We start from the raw sequence: 19,951 nt of genomic DNA, 5'->3' as shown, positions 1-19,951 counted from the left end.
ATAAATAAATCAGAGTTTAGTCCTCAGAAGGAAGAACAAAGGATAAGGGAGGAAAGGAGGTCAAAGACTACCTATACCGGTTTTCCTTGAACAAATGCCATGAGGCAAGTTTGAATTTTTAGGCCATCTATTCAGGTTGAAAAGAACCCATATTTTTATGTATATATTTTTTTTAACTCAACATCATCTCTGCTTCAAGTATCTATTCAAGTTGTGGCAGAAAACAACATTGCTAGGTTCCAGGTAAACAAGGACAGCATGTCTTGTTAAATACAATCATTTCAGGATCCTCCCCAAGTCTCACCCTGCAGGGCTGCTAAGTGCAGGGAGACAATGCAGTGTTGGGACATTGGAGGCAGGACTATGGAGCTGTCTGTGCACAAGGGCACCCCCGAAGACATGGTTGTCCTCATGAGAACCTTGGTTGTGCGGCCCGTCCACTTCCCACTGACTGTCCTTACCTGACGATTGAGACTCTCAGGCCCACCAGGTCTGCTTCTCAGCTAACTCCCATGCCCTTTTCAGAAAAACAGGAGAATTCAGCTTCTCTATAATGTTACTCTGGAGCCACAGGAAGCTCAGGCCACCTCAGGCTCTGTCCCAGACACACATGGCCGAGCTGGGGCGAGGGATCTCTGGATCTTCCTGCTCTCCTGGGCTCCCCCCAACCCCAGCGCTGAAAAACATGACACAGACCTCCTCTGCTGACAGTTCCCCACCCTTATTTTGGGTGTCAACTGCCCTTCCTCCCTCCTTCCCTGGGATTCAGCAGCAGCACGTGAGAGCCCACACCAGGATCTGACTCTGAGGAGCCCTCTGCCTCTTGTCTAGAGGAAGACTTTCCCCCTTGGTGGGAAGGAAAGGGCTAGGCAAATGTGCTTCTAAACCAGACTTATGCCAAAACCTTGAACTTTAGAAGTTAAAAAATATTCTAATTATTTTGTTTCTCTTTGTATTTCTATTGCGGCCTTCCTTTGGAAGGGTTATGGGGAAAACAAAGGGATTGCAGGGTAACTCATACAAGGCCAAATTACAAATGTGAAAGGCCCTATGATCTAAGAAAAATATGGCATTCTACATCCTGTAATCCAAAATAAAATCCGCATTTAATAAAACAGCATTGATTATAAAATAAATGTAAAGAACTCCAACAGGCCGGGAGCAGTGGCTCACACCTGTAATCCTAGCACTTTGGGAAGCCAAGGCAGGAGGATCACTTGAGCTAAGGAGTTCGAGACCAGCCTGGGCAATATAGTATTATTTATATATACTATTATATATTATATCTAATATATATAACTGTTAAAATATATATTTTAAAAATATAACTCCAACAAGTCCTGATTTTTCTCATGCTTTGTGTTTAGTATCAGATTCCTTCAAAAAGGAATGCCCTTTCTCATTCAGCCCTGGCACTGAAGACACGATTCATACCCACCTGTTAAGGGGCAAAGGAACCAAGCTGCAGAGAGTCCACAGGGTTACTCATGGTCATTTTCAATGACTGACACTTGGTCCACTGTGTTAAAGTACAGGATTCACACAAGACCAAGCAGCTATTTCGCTGGGAGAGATCGCTGATGCAGCCAGAGGTGATGGTTGGGAAGGCAGAAGACTGGTTCCTGGTGGAGCCCAGTTTTTGTCTTCCTGGTAACCAGGCTGGATCCAGAGAGCTGCAGCAAGTTAAATGTATTTAGCTAGATATTGCCGTGTAATAAACCACCCTGGAACTCCATGGCATGCACTACTAAGCATTTATCACGCTCCCAGGCTTACAGATCAGCTGGGGCTTTCATACATTGGACGGGGGAGGCTGGAGTAGGCTCTGCTCTACTTTCTCTTGCTCTTCAGAAGCCATGGGCTAACCAGGGCATATTCTTCCCATGTGGTGGCAGAAGCCAGAGAGGGGTGAGCAGAAACACGAGAGTTTGGGTTCAGGCTCGGAACTGGTACTGAGTGACTCCCACCCACCGGGTACTTTGGATGAGAACTGCACCCAGGCCAGCATTAGCAGCTAGCTCAGCGGCCAGCACCCTCTGCTGTTGGCTCTCCTGTGGCTGCACCCCTGACAGCCAGGTCTGATGACCCAGATGGCAACCACTGCAACTGGAGTGGTGTGGGCTCTGCTGTCGGGCACACACTGAGTCACAGTGAGAACCTCCTCCACCGTCTCTACAAAAAATTTTAAAAATTAACCAGCTGTGGTGGTGCACGCCTGTAGTTCCAGCCACTCGAGAGGCTCTTGAGAGCTACTTGAGAGTAGTTCCAGCTACTTGAGCGGATCGCTTGAGCCCAAGTCAAGGTTGCAGTGAGCCATGATATACTCCAGCCTGGGCAACAGAGTGAAGACCCTGTATCAAACAAACAAAACAAAACAAAAAACCAGCCCTCGGCCTACTTTTGGCAGATTTTCTTAGAGCTGACTCAGTAGCACAAGGGTGAGTGTTGGGACTGAGATCCACAGGCTGGCTGTGAGACTGAGCATATCCCTTTACGATTCTGGAGCTACACTTTGGGAGCTCTAAAATAAGAGGAAGTGCACCAAATAGTTTCTTAGGTTCCTCCAGTGCGCACGCGCGCGCATGCACACACACACACACACACACACACACACACACACACACACAATCTATGGGCTTATGTTCTACAGAATGCCTCGAGTAGCTGGAGAGGCTGGGGGATGGCGTTCTCCACTCCATCAGTCTCACAGACATTCTGTGCACCCCATGGAGACATGGGGTCCCTATATTCCCCACTAAGACCAGGAGTTACAATGCCCAGAGATCATGTTCTGTAAATATTCCTTGACTGAGAAAGGGTTAAACTATCTAATGCCTCCAAAATACTTCAATGCTGAAGAACAGCGCTTGTATAGCCCAAGTTCTTCTCTGCCTGAATCAACTTGTCCTCTAAAGCTTTGATGCCAGACTGGGATTCTGCTTAGGTAAGAGGCCTGCAGTACTGGGCTGACTCTTCACAATAGAAATACAAATCAGAAACAGATCACTTGAGGCACCCATTAGAAATGCACACGCCCAGGCTGCTGGGCAAACCACAAATCTGCTAACGCAGAAACTCTGATGGTGTGGGGCACAAGGACCTACACTTTCAGTAAGTGGCAGGGGCTGGGTGATTATTTGAGCCTCCTCTCATTTCCCCTCAAATCACCTTAGCAGGGGTCCTGTGAAATAGGGTTCATCAACAGGAACAGTGCCTGCGTCCTGGAGATGGCAGGAGCCCACATTTCTAAAGGACAGGAGCATGTGACTCTTAGCAGGAGGCAGACCTCAAGGCTGTCTCACTGCAGAGGCAGAAATGTGAATAACCAGTGAAGTGGTTCTCAAAGTCCAGTCCCTGCGCAGGCAACCGCAGCATCACCTGGGACCTTTTTGGAAACGCAAATTCTCAAGCCCCATCCCAGAGCTACCCAGAGTCAGAAACGCTGCGGGTGGGGCTGGTACCTGTTTTGACAAGACTCCAGGTGACTCTGATACCTGCTAAAGTGGGAGAACCACTGACACATGGAAGTGACAGCCAGGGAGGTGGGCGCCTGAGACCTCAGCACATCACTCCAAAGGCCTCTCAACATATCACTCCAACACTGAAGACACCTAAGAGATTCCTGCAAGTTTTTGTCAGAAAATTCTTCTCCCCTTCATGACTTTTGGCTTCCCCAGAGTAGCCCTGAGGGCCAACTCCCTTCCTGCTCCTTCTGTGGCCACTTCTTCCTTGAGAGTTGGTCTCTCCCACAGACAGCATTTCCCTGGAGATGCAGCACTGGGGACATGAAGCCCAAATTGGACTTTAGAGCAGAAGCTCTTGAAGTAAAAACTTCAGGAGGGAATATAATAAAAACCTGAGTTAAAAATCCTAGGCTTGTAGTCCCAGCTACTCGGGAGGCTGAGGCAGGAGAACTGCTTGAACCAGAGAGGCAGAAGTTGCAGTGAGCCGAGATCGTGCCACTGAACTCCAGCCTGGGCGACAGTGAGATTCTGTCTCAAAAAAAAAAAAAAATCCTAGGCATTCCTCTGAGTCATTAAAGAACAGTGGGCCATCAGCTGACAAGGGTGGGGAAATGGCTGATCCTGTGCCACTTCCTGCAGGTGGGCCCCAAATGAGAAGGAATGTGAGTGTGCTGGTGCAATGAGCACCGGGACAGCCCTCACCCTGCCCCTGCTCAAACACCACCTTGAATGTGGGCTTTCTCTTTATTATTAATGAAGGCTTACCTCCCCTCTACTAATGACCGTTGGGACAATTATGTGGGATCCTTAAGCAAATACCCAAATGGAATCTTAGACCTCCTAATTGTGAAGTCAGTCACAGGAAGCTGTCACTTGTGTTACTACTGGTCCATAATTGCTGGCTAGGGGAAAAAATGAGCCCAAACCCCAACTCCGGTTGTTGAAATAACAGCCAGATACTAGCTCAGGAGCTGAGCTATAGTCACCTTCCCCTTCCCCACCTTCCCCTCTTTGGAGAGTGAGCAATGGCAGTTCTGGGAACCAGCCCATGTGGATACCTGGACTATCACTTTTAGGCCAGAGATGGAGGGGAATGGCTAACAATTAGGTATTATTTGGGCAACACATTAGACAGAGAATACAGGACACAAGAAAAGCTGTGCTGACTTTAGCCTCTTGGTGCCCTAGAATTTTTGTCTTACTGCAATTAGGCTGGGCACAGTGGCTCACACCTGTAATCCCAGCACTTTGAGAGACTGAGGCAGGAGGATCGCTTGAGCCCAGGAGTTGAGACCAGCCTGGGTAACATGGCAAGACCTCATCTCTACAAATAATAAAGAAATTTAGATGGACGTGGTGGTGCATGCCTATAGCACCAGCTAATCTGGAAGCTGAGGTGGGAGGATCACCTGGGAGGTCGAGGCTGCAATGAGCCGTGATCTCACCACTGCACTCCATCCTGGGCAACAGAGTGAGATCCTGTCTCGAAAAAAATTAAAAAATAAATAGAATAACAAAGCAGTCTAGTCCCATGGAGAGATAGGAAGGATCCTCAAATGTGGAAGACCCTAACCCAGACAGGACTGTGGCTGTCTAACAAACACCAGTCTCAAAAAAAGCAAGCTTAAGAATGAACTTATTATAGTATCAATGCGGTGATTACAAATTACTCAATATTTCCTAAAGACCATGAGAACTCCAGAACCCATTCTTACACAGGCCCTGTGGAAGAATCCAAGCAGGAATAATTGGATTATTTCCAGCCAGTGACTTTCAGGAGGACCACATATCTTCAATGTCTTCACATTGTATCTGAAAAATGTATCTGAAGCACTCAAACACCAAGTCTACTCAAATACGCTTCCCAAGCAGCTTTTCTGTACATCTCTGCTGCTTCCAGACGATCAGCTGCTGAGATTATGCCACGACCTACAATGATGATATCGGAACCTCGTTTGCCAATAACTTCTTGTGGGCTATTGTACTGTTGGCCAAGATTATCTCCTGCAAGAAACACAAAAATTGTTGTTTCACATAATACAAAAATCAGAAAACCTGTCACATGACTTCTCTGAAAAAGTATCTAACCAGCTTTAAATAAAAACATGCCCCTACTTTCGTTCCCCTTTTGTACAGCAACTGCGTAAAAACAGGAGCTGAAGAGACTCACTGGGTAGGCCAGAGACGTCAAATGGAGAAAGATGATCACCAACTCCTTTTCAATGGTAAAGTTTATTTTATTTATTTATTTATTTATTTATTTTTATTTATTTATTTTTTTGAGACGGAGTCTCGCTCTGTCACCCAGGCTGGAGTGCAGTGGTGCTATCTCGGCTCACTGCAAGCTCTGCCTCCCAGGTTCATGCCATTCTCCTGCCTCAGCCTCCCGAGTAGCTGGGACTACAGGCGCCTGCCACCACGCCTGGCTAATTTTTTGTATTTTTTAGTAGAGATGGAGTTTCACCGTGTTAGCCAGGATGGTCTCGATCTCCTGACCTCATGATCCGCCCGCCTCAGCCTCCCAAAGTGCTGGGATTACAGGCATGAGCTACTGCGCCCCGCCCTATTTATTTATTTATTTTTTTGAGACAGAGTCTTGCTCTGTCACCCAGGCTGGAGTGCAATGGCACAATCTCAGCTCGCTGCAACCCCCGCCTCCCGGATTCAAGCGATTCTCCTGCCTCAGCCTCCCGAGTAGCTGGGATTAAAAGCGTGCACCACCACGCCCGGCTAATTTTTGTATTTTGAGTAGAGACAGGGTTTCACCATGTCGGCCAAGCTGGTCTTGAACTCCTGACCTCAGGTGATCTGCCCACCTCGGCCTCACAAAGTGCTGGGATTACGAGCGTGAGCCCCCGCACCCAGCCTTATTTATTTTATCATTATTTTTTCATGTAATTTTTTTCCAGAAGCATAAATTCAAGTTGCCCTAAATATTCACCCCCTCAATGTCAAATTTTAGATCATCTGTAGCTTAACAATATATTAAAAAAAGAAGTAAAACTCATATGTTGCAAAGAAAGGTTCAATATCAAAAAAATACAATAAAGATTGGCCTCACAATTGAAGAAAATTTTAGCACACATCTTAGAATCACCACAAGGCACTGCTGAGCAAGTCTAACCTGACCACTACCATATACAAGAACCCCATCAAGTGGTCACACAGACTATCCATAAACCCGAATCCTTAAATTTTGCTTTTTTATTAAATTCCGCTGTTTCAGAAGCATTCTGTTAAATGGCTTATTATCTTCCAAATCCAAGATACTTTAAGTATTCTTAAAAGCCTAGACCCTAACTATAATATCTAGTCAAACAATTATTAGGGCTTACGAATAAGGGCTTATAAGTACAGAGTGTTTACTCTGTGCCAAGACATTGTGTTAAATATTCTACATGTTATCTCATTAAAGCATCTTGATTACCTTATGAGGTCAATACTGTTATCATCCCCATTTTACAGACAATTAGACTAAAAGAAGTAAACTGACTTGTCCAAAGATACATAGTTACCAAAGGGCTCATTCATTATTGTTCTAGACTAAGAAGGCTTTTCTTAAGCAAGTGTATAATAATATGCAAAGTTTTATTTTGCCTGCCATGGGTAAAGAAGCATTTTTGGAAGAGCCACGACCAGTGACCAGATTTACCTCCTGCTTCCAACTGAACTCCTGGAGTCAAGTGAAGAAATTCTGGTTTCATGCTTACTCGGGAGCCAGAAATAAAACCAACAACAAATTCAGAGTGCTCCTCAGCCATTCTAACCTAAATGGAATGTAATAGGACATATTATAAGAAAACAGTTAATCACACAGAATAAAAGTAAAAATATGCTCTATTTTTTCAAAACTTAAAAAAAAAAAAAAAAGACATGAGGTCTCCCTATGTTCCCTGGCTGGTCTTGAACCCCTGGGCTCAAGGGATCCTCCTACCTTGGCCTCCCAAAGTGCTGGGGTTACAGTTGTAAGTCACCATGCCTGGCTTATGCTCTATTATCTAGTTAGAAACTTTGCTGTATTATAGATGCCTTTTCTCATTCCATATATATAAAGTTACTATATCTGAAACAGGTCATCTTAGATAGAAACCATAATAAAACACATCTGCTTCATTAAGACTCTGAGATGACCCTTTCCCTTCCCTTCCCGCAATAAACCATACGTAAAGCAGAAATCCTATACTATATGCATCTAAAATCAAGATGCTGCATAATTTCTTATTTCTAATAATGCTTGGTGACCCACCTACTTCCAAAAAGGATTTGAGGCGAGTACTCTAGAACATATTATAATGGTATGAAACCACATTCAAGGCTTACTGACTATCTACAGACGGGGTACTCCATATCCAAAGGCAGCTGTCATGTAAAGAACAGCTACGCTTTCAAGAGCTAAAGAAATCTCACCTCTACCACTTTCCCTCTTCTGTAACATCAACTGGTCTCCCCAATTTCTATACTATTATCTCACATTCATAAAAGTCTCTTTAGAAGGTCTGCCTGGCTTTCTGATTCGGTAGGTACTTTCCCCGAGACGTGACTCCCATACTTCCCTTCTTATTTGATACTTCCCGGAGACCAGACTCAGTACCACCACTGCACTCCAGCCTCGGTACTTCGAGACCTGAGACACACATTGATACATTCATTCTTGCCACCAAGTACTACTGCCAACAAACAAGTCATGTCTTGTCCTTGAGCCAGACCCAGACTCCCAGAATGCCAAATATTAAAACTGACTCATGGCCCCTGTGATTTTGAGACTTGGGAAATCAGACAGTTATAGTCAATTCAGGGATAGGGTTAAAACCTGACTGTAGGGCCATATGAGTTAAGTCTCCAAATAGTCTGAAATAATATGAAAAAATGGAAATCCTTTACTTCTAGAATCTTCACATGGGGATTGTCTTGGGGATTTCATTTTTAAAAAAATCATGGGGATTTTCTTGGGGCTTTTTATTTTTAATTTTTTTTGACAGGCTCTTACTCTTGCCCAGGCTGAGGTAAAGTGGCATGATCATGGCTCCCTGCAGCCTTGAACTTCAAGCTCAAGCGATCCTCCCACCTCAGCCTCCCAAGCAGCTGGGACTATAGGCACGTACCACCATGCCTGGTTATTTTCTTTTTCATTTTTTTGTAGAGACGAGATCTCACTATGACGTCCAACTCCTGGCCTCAAGCAATCCTCCCGCCTTGGCCTCCCAAAGTGCTAGGATTACAGGTGTGAGCAACTGCGCCCAGCCCCCTATGGCAATTTTTTTAAAGTAATATTATATTCTAAAATATCTGACAAGAATAAGAGAAAGCCACTGCATGTGGGCTGCTGTCATGGGAATGTGCATCTCTGTAGGACTTGGGAGATTCTGAGAAACTGCATGTCTGGGAAGCTCTTCTCATCTTCTCTCAATTCATGGTAAGATGAAAAAGACATTATCTTAAAGTCCTGGTAGATTTAGTAAGTGTTTGTTTGACTAACTATCTGGGTCTCAAAGTTTCTCTTGGAGTATAATTCAAATTCCTGAAGTGTCCACTACATGATATAAAATGCTATTAACTATCAAGGAATTCTATCCAACTAGTATTAATATACTGTCACACTAACAAGAGCTGGATTTTTTTTTTGGCAGAGGTTCCAGAAACGCCAGATTAGGAGATATCTTCTTGCAGCATGCAGCATAGCAGCCCCTGCCCCCTCTCACCCAGTCCCCCCACCACTTACCGCTGCTCTAGTGTAGTCCCCAGTGGCCAGGGAGCCGGTGGAGCTCATTTCCGCAATAAGGAGGCACCCCCGATGCAAAGGCAGGCCCACTTCTTGCAGGCCTTTCACAACTCCTGAGCCTGGCACCACGTGAGCATTTACTAGATCTGCCCAGGAAGCTATTTTAAAGATACCTCCTAAGAAGAAGGGGGAAAAAAGATATTTGCTGATTTTCAAACAAAACCTCTAACGTCTTGTCCAACCAACCAACTACAATATGAAATAATCTCCCAGTAACATGTTAATGAGAGAATCAAAACTCTTCAGGAACTTTAGTGATTATCAGCAGACCCATGGTTCCATCTGTGAAAACTGTATCTGTTATTCAGGTAAGTAGCTGGGTGAGAGATCACAATGAGAAAAAACTTTCAAGGTCTGCACTTGGCTTATCTGGAACACTAACAGGACTCTTTTTCCTTGAAGGCTGAAGCTCATGACCACAAATAAAGCTCATGCTATTAGAAAGGGACTCCAGTGAAGATAAACATTTATTGATGTCAAGGATAACATTTAAAAATTCCTCTTGAAGCTGGGCATGGTGGCTCATGCTTGTAATCCCAGTACTTTGGGAGGCTGAGGTGGGCAGATTGCTTGAGTTTAGGAGTTCGAGACCAGCCTGGGCAACATGGCAAAACTCCATCTCTACCAAAAATACAAAAAAATTAGCTAGGTGTGGTGGCGCATGCCTGTGGTCCCAGCTACTTGGGAGGCTGAGGTGGGAGGATCACTTGAGCCCAGGAGGTGGAGGTTGCAGTGAGTCAAGATTGCACCACTGCACTCCAGCCTGGGCGACAGAGCAAGACCCCATCTCAAAAAAAATAATAATAAAAATAAAATTCTTCTTGAAGATGACAAGTTTTCACTCTGCAGGGGTCTCTCAGCAGCTTTACTATCGCTCAATATTTCTACGTGTTCCTTAGATCTCCTTAGCTATCTAATTTCAATAGGCAACTATATTCCTTTTAAAAGCGGACAGTAACAAGCCTGATTTTCGAAAAAACTCTATGCAGAGCTGAAGAAAGTTTGTATAAAACTCTTATGTCAGTCAATCAGCTAAAGTAAGCTAGGCAATGTGATGAGGGCAGGACATCTTAAGCACATGAAGAAGTCACTTAAAGACAAATCTATTTTAAAGAAATAGCTTATGAACATGCATACATTAAAGAAAAGTTACCTCAAAGATGCCTACAAAAAATGTTATATGACACAACCAAATATCTGTTACCAGGTTAAGTGAAAAATGCATTAAATATAGTCTGATCACACAGTTGTAAAAACATAGACAGAAATTTGCATAGAATAGGCAGTAGAACTAAGCATTTTTCTCAACCAACACATGCACTACTTTGAGTCCCTATTTGATAAAAGAAAAATCTTTAAATAATGTTTATCAATAGAACTTTTTCTGCTACAAATAAATCTTACCATTTTATATTTCTTTTTCATTGTTTCCTTTATGTGGAATTTTCATTCAAAACATCATATTCTGCCAAGGACATCTGTCAAATTTGCTTGCCCAGGCACATACCCTTCTTCTGGTACTAGCACATCCATTTTCTTTAAGGAAATTATCCCTGACTGGTTCTTATTTCAAGAAGGTCATACAGAGTTAACAACCTCACAGTTGCAGAGCAAATTGCCCAGGCTAGTTAATGAAGGTATTCTACATCCCAAGCTAGAGTGATTGGTTTGGGGTGAGCATGCAGAGTATGCCTACCTGAGAAAGAAGTCAACAGAGAAGAAAGCAGAGCTGAGAGATGGAGAGAAAGCAAGTCATGAAGATATCACTTGAGCTCCTGGATCCAACCACGCTTGACAGCCTGCTCTATGAATGGACTTTCAATGACATGAGCATTTCCTTTTTCTTCTTCAGTTTAAGCTGGATTTCTGATTCTTGCAGATTCCTGAATAATACACTTACCTTCATACTGCTTTTTCACTGTGTTTCCTATATCTGCAAACTTCCGGTCTTCAAATATCAAGAACTCATGGCATTTTGCCAGAGTTATCAACTCCTTCATCACATCCAGAGTAAAATCATTCAAAATATCTACATGAGTCTTCAGCATGCAGATACTAGGTCCTAAAGCATCTGCTAGCTGCAACAGCTCTCTGGCCAGTGAAACATCAGCAGATAGACACAGATTGGTCTCCTTCTTTTGCATAAGCCTGAGAAGCTTCGATGCAACTGGGTGGATCCTGGGCAGCTCTGCACGTGCACCGAAGCTGAGTTCTTTGGGTGCTTCCTTTATAGAAAGGGGAGAACCATTATGATTCGCTGCCACAAAGACATTCTCCTGAATAAACCTCTTCACTCTCCCAACTGTCTCAGCATCAACTTTTTTCTGCTGCTCGAGAATCTCCAGCATTTTGGACAATGTACACACTGAGTGGAGGCGGATCCCGTGCGCCTGCAACTTGTCCTTGCCTCCCTGCTCTCTGTCCAACAGCACTATGGCATCAGTGACCTTCAAGCCCTCCTTCTGAAGAACCTCAACAGTTTCCAAAACACTAGATCCACTGGTGACAACATCTTCAATGATTAAACAGGTTTCTCCTGGATTAATAGTTCCTTCTACAAGACGCTTAGTTCCTAGAAAAGAAAAAATTTTGCTGATTCCAAATTTAAATATGTATGTATATGTGCGTATATACGTACACACACTCTGTATACAAAACTTGCCAGTTACACATACAGTATATGTGTATACCAATTCTGTATACCAAACTTGCTAGTTGCACATACAGTATATTTATGTATAAAGCCAACTCTGTATACCAAACTTGCCAGTTACACATACAGTATATTTATAGTAAATCAAGTAAATTATTTCACATTATAAACACTGCTTAATGTGTTTTATGATCAAATTTTCAAATAGAGAGGTTTTTTTTTTACTTTAAAAAAATCTGTTTTATCATAGAGATGAGGTCTCACTATGTTGTCTAGGCTGGTCTTGAACTCCTGAGCTCAAGTGATCCTCCCGCCTCAGCCTCCCAAAATGCTAGGATTATAGGTGTGAGCCACCACGTCCAGCCTAAATACAGAGTTTCTTACAGCAAGATCACCTAGATCAAGGAAAGTTATGAAACAGAATAATCCAGTATCATGAATGAAATAATTCCTTTTTCCATCAAAGTATTTTAAGTTCACTATTCAAGATCAGCCAAATAATTGACTTTTTGAAGACACAAATTCAGAAGGAAAAATATTCAGCAATCATTTAGACCCATTACTACAATCTAAAGAATTATATAATGCAATGTGATTAAATATATACTTCTCTACCCAAATCCCACTAGACTATTTTCAGATAATCTACAAAACGTAAATAACTTGGGCTGTAGACTTTAGACTCATCAAATCCTTTCCGCTTCTTGAACAACTGGTAAGTTTAACTGAATCAGCTTAAGCTAGAACACAAGACTGCAAGTATTTATAGTATATTTAAAAATGCATAATTTCATAGAAACAGTTTTTAAAACATAAAATAATAGAAATAAGAGTTTTCTTATGGGTAGGGATTCATACAGTTTTTTTTTAGCTCAGAAAGTCTCAGCTGGGTGCAGTGGCTCACACCTGTAATCCCAGCACTTTGGGAGGATGAGGCAGGAGGATGGCTTGAGACCAGGAGTTCAAGACCAGCCTGGGCAACAGAGTGAGACCTTGTCTCAAAAAAACAAAAAACAAAAACAGAAAAACTAACACTGCCCTTACGCCACAAAAACTCAACTAATATGTTTCTTTTTTTTAATCATAAAAATTTTCAGAATGCATCTGTAGAAGAAGGATTTGTTTTAAAAAAAGTAACAAAACACTAATAAACCAACATAAACAAAAAAGCCCATTAATTCCTTACTATCATTAAGATTGCTTTTCAGGTTTTATTTATTTATTTTTTGACAGTCTTGCTCTGTCACCCAGGGTGCAGTGCAGTGGCATAATCATAGCTCACTGCAACCTTCAGCTCCTGGGCTCAAGGCATCCTCCTGCCTCAGCCTCCCATGTAACTGTGACACTCAGCTAATTTTGTATTCTTTTTTTATTTTTGTAGAGACAAACGTTGCCAAAGCTGGTCTCAAACTCCTGGGCTCAAGCTATCCTCCCACCTTGCCCTCCCAAAGTGCTGGGATTACAAGTGTGAGCCACTGTGCCTGGCCAATTTTCAGGGTTTTTTTTGTTTGAAATAGGGTCTCACTTTGTCGCCCAGGCTGGAGTGCAGTGGCGCAATCTCAGCTCATTGCAACCTCCACCTCCTGGGTTCAAGCGCATCTCCTGCCTCAGCCTCTCCAGTAGCTGGGACTACAGGTGCATACCACCACGCCCAGCTAATTTTTGTATTTTTAGTAGAGACGGAGTTTTACCACGTTGGTCAGGCTGGTCTTGAACTCCTGACCTCAAGTGATCCGCCTACCTCGGCCTCCAAAAGTGCTGGGATTACAGGCGTGAGCCATGGTGCCTGGACAAATTTTCGGGTTTTAAAGCAAGTCACCTGATAATCTATTGCCATGAACCCACAAAAATATCTCTCTGAGGTGTTTACACTGCTTTATGAGAGTAATTTTATCCATGGATTACTTTTCATGAAGTTTAAATACAAACATACTGGGAAAGTATGTGCTGTTACAACATTTTGCTGATGAGGGAAGGGCTGGTAAAAAAAAAAAATGTTGGAGTTTCATAGATACAGTACCAAAAAAAGCACTTTTCATTTCCTAATCAATACAAAGCATTTCACCCCAAGTCTAAAAAAAGGAAGGTGACTTATAGTAACAATTATAAATTCTACAAGCAGTAACAACTTAAAGAACTCAAGATGACTGGTAAAACATTAGTGCACAGAAGCGGAAAAATTCTAAGAGTATGATGTTACAGATTAATTAACTTCATGCTTTATGTTACTTTTATTTTACCATAATCCTTTGTTTCTTTCCTTCTAATAAGCATTGGAATTTGATTGGTTGAACAGATAACTGTAGCCAATGGCAAAGCTGTATAAGGCACTCCACACACGGTGTCAAAACTGATGCCTGCATTTTGGGCAGTTTGGAATAAAATATCTGCAACCTGTAAGAAAATGAACACATAAACAATGTTTTATTGTAACTATTTTATTTTATTTTATATTTTTTATTTTTTGAGATGGAGTCTCGCCCTGTTGCCCAGGCTGGAATGCAGTGGTGCGATCTCGGCTCACTGCAACCTCTGCCTCCCAGGTTCAAGTGATTCTCCTGCCCCAGCCTCCCAAGGAGCTGAGATTACAGGCGCGCACCACTACACCCAGCTAATTTTTTTGTATTTTTAGTAGAGATGGGGTTTCACTATGTTGGTCAGGCTGGCCTCAAACTCTTGGCCTTGTGATCCACCTGCCTCGGCCTCCCAAAGTGCTGGGATTACAGGCGTGAGCCACTGCGCCCAGCCTATTGTAACTATTTTAAATAGTGTATAAACATGTAACAACGTAACAGAAAAGACAGTAATAAACTAGTGGGGGTAAGTCTCAAACTTGATTGGAGAAAAAAAAACAAATGCCTTTTTATTACCCTCTCCATAAACCCAGTACACAAATATAAATCTAAAAACACAAGAATGAATCTATTCAACCAGACTCAGAATCTGTTCTGAAGGCAACCTGAGATGTGCTGGGGAAGCTCATGATGTTGACCCCAAAGACTAAGGACGATCCCGACTTCCTGGTTTCCTCAGTAACCCATTAGGCTGAGTATCTAAACCTATCATCTTTTAGTTATATATCCTGAAAGAAGCCTTCAATTAGGAAGTTTCATAAATACAGACTATTGTGTGAATTGCTATTTTATAATCTCCTTTTCCACATAAATCATCATATTTTAATGTTAGGATACATATTCCCACCCAAGACCACCTCATTTTTTTTTTAAAAAAGCAAACAGTCACTGAGTTGCTTTGTGAACTAGATCATAGGTTTACACCAGTACTTCTAAAGAGTAAAAAAACAAACAAAAAAAAACTATGACTATTTTAAGTTGCAGAGAATGTAATTTCTAGTACTAAAAATATTAACATATTATCTTAGAACTGTTTTATCACTCTTTTTAAGGAATAAACTTGGAATACAAATGCTAGTGACTGGATATCCACCATCTCCATTTAAAAAAACAAAACGTGAAATTGCTGGACTATGAAAAGTTTAAAATTTTTTACATCTTTTTCCAACTCATATTTTCACTCCACTGTGTCCACAGAATTTTATTCTAAAGTAATATATGATTATACTTGAAAAGCTTTTACTGATCCCTCTGTCATACTTGTCTATATGTATGTAAACTGAAATTTAAAATGGTAATTAAAAAAAAATTTCCCATGACCATAAGTCTCTAGATGTCAAGAATTCTTCTGTAGCTCTCTCAGGTCCTTACTTCCAAGATGACAAAGAAAAGAAAGGAACAATGATCGTGCCAAAAAGGGCTGTGGCCAGTAGTGGCACATACTATGTCCGATGCATGCCCAAGGAAAAGACCATTAAGAAGCTCGTCGTGCAAAACATAGTAGAGGCCGCAGCAGTCAGGGACATTACTGCAGTGAGCAACTTTGCCTCCTATGTTCTTCCCAAGCTGTATGCGAAGCTACATTAAGGTGTGAGTTGTGCCATTCACAGCAAGGCAGTCAGTAATCCATCTTGTGAATCCCACAAGGACCAAATACCCCAATCTGATTTAAACCTGTGGGTGCTGCCTCATGACCCTCACCAAAGCCCATGTAAGGAGCTGAATCCTTAAGGACTGAAGAGAAACTATTCTCTTGAGGAAAAGAAAATGGAAATTGTACTTTTTAAAGAAGAGAATTCTTCTGTATATCATTAAATTATAACAAGCATATGATTAATTCAAACATGATTTGCAAATTTTGACAGAGAGATAAAAACAGATTTGGAAAATGCATTTTTAGTGAGTTAATGCTACCTTTCCTCTCCAATTACTTTATGTACACTAATGTGTATATAGTACTATAGTCAAATATCACTTATTATCACTTATTAAGGGAAGTTAGAGTTTAGCATAAATTATATTGCTTTTTGGGGTGTAAATACTGAGAAATTCTATTCGCATAAGATGTGAAAAGAAGTTTTGTTATACCCAAGTCTCTCCATGTTTTGAACTCCTCCCCAGTTAATCACCAAAATACACACACACACACACACACACACACACACCATGATCTAGTTATCAAAAAACTTTTTCTGTCATTTATCAGCTGGCTTATTAAAATAAATCAATTTTTCCCTAGAAAATCCTTAGTAATTCTCCACATTGCTAAGATACACCATAGCAAGATTCTGGATGGTGAGAAGTTAATGGTCCAAAGTACCGCAACCTTAATAGTCCAACCTATCTTCAATACTTTTTACAATAACCACACAAAGTGGTCCCTAGTGAACATAAACCCTTAAGTGGGCTGAGGAAACTTATATGTCTTCTTGATAGAACTTTCTGCAATGATGGAAATGTTCTCTATCTTTGCAGTCCAATATGATAGCCACTGGCCATATATGACTATTTAAACTTAAAAATTCATAATGCTCAATAGTAACACGTGGCTAGTAGCAAACTGTATTGGAAAGCATATTTACGGCCCTCTACTCAGTGTGGTCTGCAGTTTCAGCTGGCACTTTGTTAGAAATGCACAACCTCAGGTCTAGTCTCAGAGCTACAGAAATGGATTCTGCATTTTAACAAAATTCCCAGGTAATTCATATATACTCAAAGTTGAGAAGCACTGTATTAGAAACCTCTAATTTGTACAAAAATTTTCCTTATATTGACTAAAAACCTGCTTTCCCAATATGTCCACCTTCTAGTCTTAATTATTGCTTCTGGCCGCACAGTGCAAAATTCAACTCCCCTTTCCAAACAGCCCTTCCAAGTGTGGACCTAACAGGAAGAGGCTGAGGCAAAATTAATATGAGTAGTTGCCCTGACTATAGGCTTCGATTACAGTAGTTACAAGTGGATTTTTAAAGCAAAAGAAGGGGCAGTTCCTATATTCACCAAGAATTTGCATTGAAATAACAGGAGGTAGCCCGGGGGTGGCACCAGGCATTTGTAGTCCCAGCTACTTGGGAAGCCGCCAAGGCAAGAGGATCTTTTGAGGCCAGGAGTTTGAGACGAGCCTGGGCAGTATGGTGAGACCTCCTCTCTACAAAAAAAAAAAATTTTTAATTTGGTGGGCATGATGGCACATGCCTGTAGTTCCAGCTACTCAGAGGTTGAGGTAAGAGGATCTCTTTTTTTTTTTTTTTTCTGAGACAGTCTCCCTCTGTTGCCCAGGCTGGAGTGCAGTGGCTCAATTTCGGCTAACTGCAACCTCCTGATTCTTCTGCCTCAGCCTCCTGAGTAGCTGGGATTACAGGTGTGCACCACCATGCCCAGCTAATTTTTGCATTTTCAGTAGAGACAGGGTTTCACCATGTTGGCCAGGCTGGTCTCGAACTCCAGACCTTAAGTGATCCACCCGCCTCAGCCTCCCAAAGAAAGCCTCCCAAAGTTGGGACTACAGGCATGAGCCCCTGTGCTCACCCGAGGCAAGAAGATCTCTTAAGCCCAGGAGTTCCAGGCTGCAGTGAGCTATGATCACAGAGCTGCACTCCAGCCTGGGTGACGTAAGAGAGATCCCATCTAAAAAATAAATAAATAAAATAATAACACAAGCGATTGATTAGCTATACATTGTTCTTTGTATCACACATTCCAGGTACATTAAGATAATGGGAGAGGCAGCTAGTCAGGGACAAAATTCCTTTAAATAATTGTCCCGGGGCTGCATAGGGGAGTATGGTTGAAGTCTCTCTGGGCTCTGATAAATTTTGTATACATCACAGAGTTCTGGTTGTTCTATTTTCCTTTTCTCACCAGTAATTTCCCAGCTACTGAATTCTCTGCCTACCCACGTTTTCCCGGTCTATTTGTTTGTTTTTTGAGGGCAGGGTCTCACTTGTCGCCCAGGCTGGAGTGCAGTGGCGCAATGACAGCTCATTGCAGCCTTGACCTCCCAGGCTCAGGTGATCCTCCCACCTCAGCGTCCCAGGCGTGCGCCACCACACCCAGCTAATTTTTTGTAGAGACGGGGTCTCGTCATGTTGCCCAGGCTGGTCTCGAACTCCTGGGGCTCAGGTGATCTGCCCACTTAGGCATCCCAAAGTGCTGGTATTACTCTCATGAGGCACCACGCCCGGCCGCAAGTCTAATTTTCTTAAAGAGTTAAATATACAGAATTCATTCAAGTGTGCTTCAGTGCCAGAAAGCGTTCCAAACTGGGTTTCCCGACTTTTGCAAAACACGTGTCTAAGCGTGTGGGTGAAAGAACAGACGACTCTCGAGGAGCCCAACCCCTGGCCTCTGTGCTTCTCATGCTTACTCCCCAAACCAAGAGTAGGGTCGGTCTGCCTGCTTGGCTCTTTTGCTCTCACTCACGGCCCAACTCCTGTCACCCTCTTCCATTTCCTTGTCCTCCTTCCCGCCACCAAGCCCTGTCCTTTCCCTTCCTAGGCCAGCACCTGACTCAGAAGACGCGGTCGAGACACGATGCCCCGCAGATCGATGTAGATGGGGGAGGAAAGCCCGCTCTTCAGCACGAAGTCCCCAAACTTGAAAGCCTGCACGTCGTACAGACCCGTCACCAATGGCCCCAAAGCTGCACGAGCGACCGCCATTGTCGCGCGCTGCCTGTTTGCTTCAAATTCCCAGGCGCCCCGGGCCTCCGGCGCCCCGATGACGTCACCCGCGAAGTCCCGCCTCTTCCGCCTGCCTCGTCTGCAGCTTTCCCGGCTTGCTGCACCCGTGGGTTTCCCCGGGCTCAAGGGTCAGGTGGATGGTAGCGAACCTAGCGCCAGTTTGTGCTTCTCCTGGTTTCTTCTGGATGGGGTCGCTGGGGTTCAAAGCCCAGAACAGCTAGATTGACTGTAGGATCATGAAGTCCCACCTTTCATGAGAGTTTGCATAAATCCTGTCCATTTTTTAATAGCCAATGCCTTCTCGACTAGTTCTCTTAATTATCTCTACTCCTTGGCCTAACATGTTATATTTGCTAGTTATTAGCCAAGATTTACCCCCCATGTTTCTCCAAATAGAATATAAGTTATCAAAGACAGGGACCTTTACTCAATTCTTTTATTAACTTCATAGCATCTAGTACGTGACAGTTCCATAGCAGTTTGCACATAGGAATATATAGCACTTAGATCATTACAGTATTCATTACCTCTTTTGTCTGTACTCTGCTTCCTGGAGGAGTACTTTTTTATTTCCTTTGGCGTACCTCAAATGCTTAGGTAATAGGTGTAGAAAAGGTAAGGGAGGGAAGGAGGAGAGTTAGAAGACGGTTAATTGATTGGTATCAGGGTTATCCAGGAGGATAATATTGCTAGACAATCTGAAAATCCAAACATATTTGGTCTTTACAAATAAATCCCTTAAAGAAATAATCAATAAATAATCTGTACAAATAAATCCCTTCTCCATTGTGTATATAAGGCAATACTTTATTCTAGCTTAAGGAAAATAACCCTTAAATTCACATAAAGAATGAAACCTTGTCATTTGCAGCAAGGTGGATGAACCTGAAGGACATTATGTTAGTGAAACAAGCCAGGAACAGGAAGATAAATACCAAATGTTCTCGCTCATATGCAGAAGCTAAAAAAGTTGATCTCATGGAGCTAGAGAATAAAATAGTAATCACTAGAGGCTGGGA

The 19,951-nt window shown here is 42.6% G+C and overlaps 1 protein-coding gene, 1 non-coding gene and 1 pseudogene across 5 annotated transcripts, besides 2 other annotated features; 1 reads left to right on the top strand and 2 right to left on the bottom strand.

Moving 5' to 3' along the window:
* Positions 110 to 18,931, bottom strand: UMPS (uridine monophosphate synthetase). 4 transcript variants are annotated; one of them, NR_033437.2, is made up of 7 exons: positions 18,756 to 18,931; positions 17,779 to 17,877; positions 14,137 to 14,290; positions 11,144 to 11,815; positions 9,184 to 9,359; positions 7,117 to 7,231; positions 110 to 5,468 (listed from the first exon to the last, which is right to left on the bottom strand). NR_033437.2 is itself a non-coding variant. In NM_000373.4 (6 exons), the coding sequence occupies exons 1-6, from the start codon at positions 18,909 to 18,911 to the stop codon at positions 5,299 to 5,301; spliced, it is 1,443 nt and encodes a 480-aa protein (NP_000364.1). In that variant the 5' UTR covers positions 18,912 to 18,931; the 3' UTR covers positions 110 to 5,298. The 4 variants fall into 4 exon arrangements, 1 of the variants encoding a protein (NP_000364.1); NM_000373.4 differs by lacking the exon at positions 17,779 to 17,877; NR_033434.2 differs by lacking the exons at positions 14,137 to 14,290; positions 17,779 to 17,877.
* Positions 15,629 to 15,965, top strand: RPS26P22 (ribosomal protein S26 pseudogene 22; annotated as a pseudogene).
* Positions 16,867 to 16,944, bottom strand: MIR544B (microRNA 544b). Its single transcript, NR_036088.1, has one exon. It is a non-coding gene; the product is annotated as a microRNA 544b (primary transcript).
* Positions 18,674 to 19,273: an enhancer, noted in NCBI's record as "NANOG-H3K27ac-H3K4me1 hESC enhancer chr3:124448957-124449556 (GRCh37/hg19 assembly coordinates)". NCBI's record gives its function as "activates a minimal SCP1, AML or CMV promoter by ChIP-STARR-seq in naive H9 embryonic stem cells {active_cell/tissue: H9 hESC(naive)}" and the evidence as "EXISTENCE:reporter gene assay evidence [ECO:0000049][PMID:30033119]".
* Positions 18,852 to 19,261: an enhancer, noted in NCBI's record as "active region_20402". NCBI's record gives its function as "activates an Ori minimal core promoter by ATAC-STARR-seq in GM12878 lymphoblastoid cells {active_cell/tissue: GM12878}" and the evidence as "EXISTENCE:reporter gene assay evidence [ECO:0000049][PMID:35858748]".

The sequence above is a fragment of the Homo sapiens genome, chromosome 3 (assembly GCF_000001405.40).
Source record: "Homo sapiens chromosome 3, GRCh38.p14 Primary Assembly".
NCBI classification, from domain to species: Eukaryota; Metazoa; Chordata; class Mammalia; order Primates; family Hominidae; genus Homo; species Homo sapiens.
The sequence above is the reverse complement of the archived record's forward strand: the minus strand, read 5'-3'. Positions and strand labels throughout refer to the sequence as shown.

Coding starts and splice junctions, on each gene's coding strand:
- UMPS (NM_000373.4), bottom strand. CDS start 18,911: ATGGCGGTCGCTCGTGCAGCTTTGGGGCCATTGGTGACGGGTCTGTAC. Junction 14,291..18,755: donor GACCGCGTCTTCTGAGTCAG/GTGCTGGCCTAG, acceptor ATTTTCTTACAG/GTTGCAGATATTTTATTCCA. Junction 5,469..7,116: donor AGTTCAGTTGGAAGCAGGAG/GTAAATCTGGTC, acceptor TGTTTCTTGCAG/GAGATAATCTTGGCCAACAG.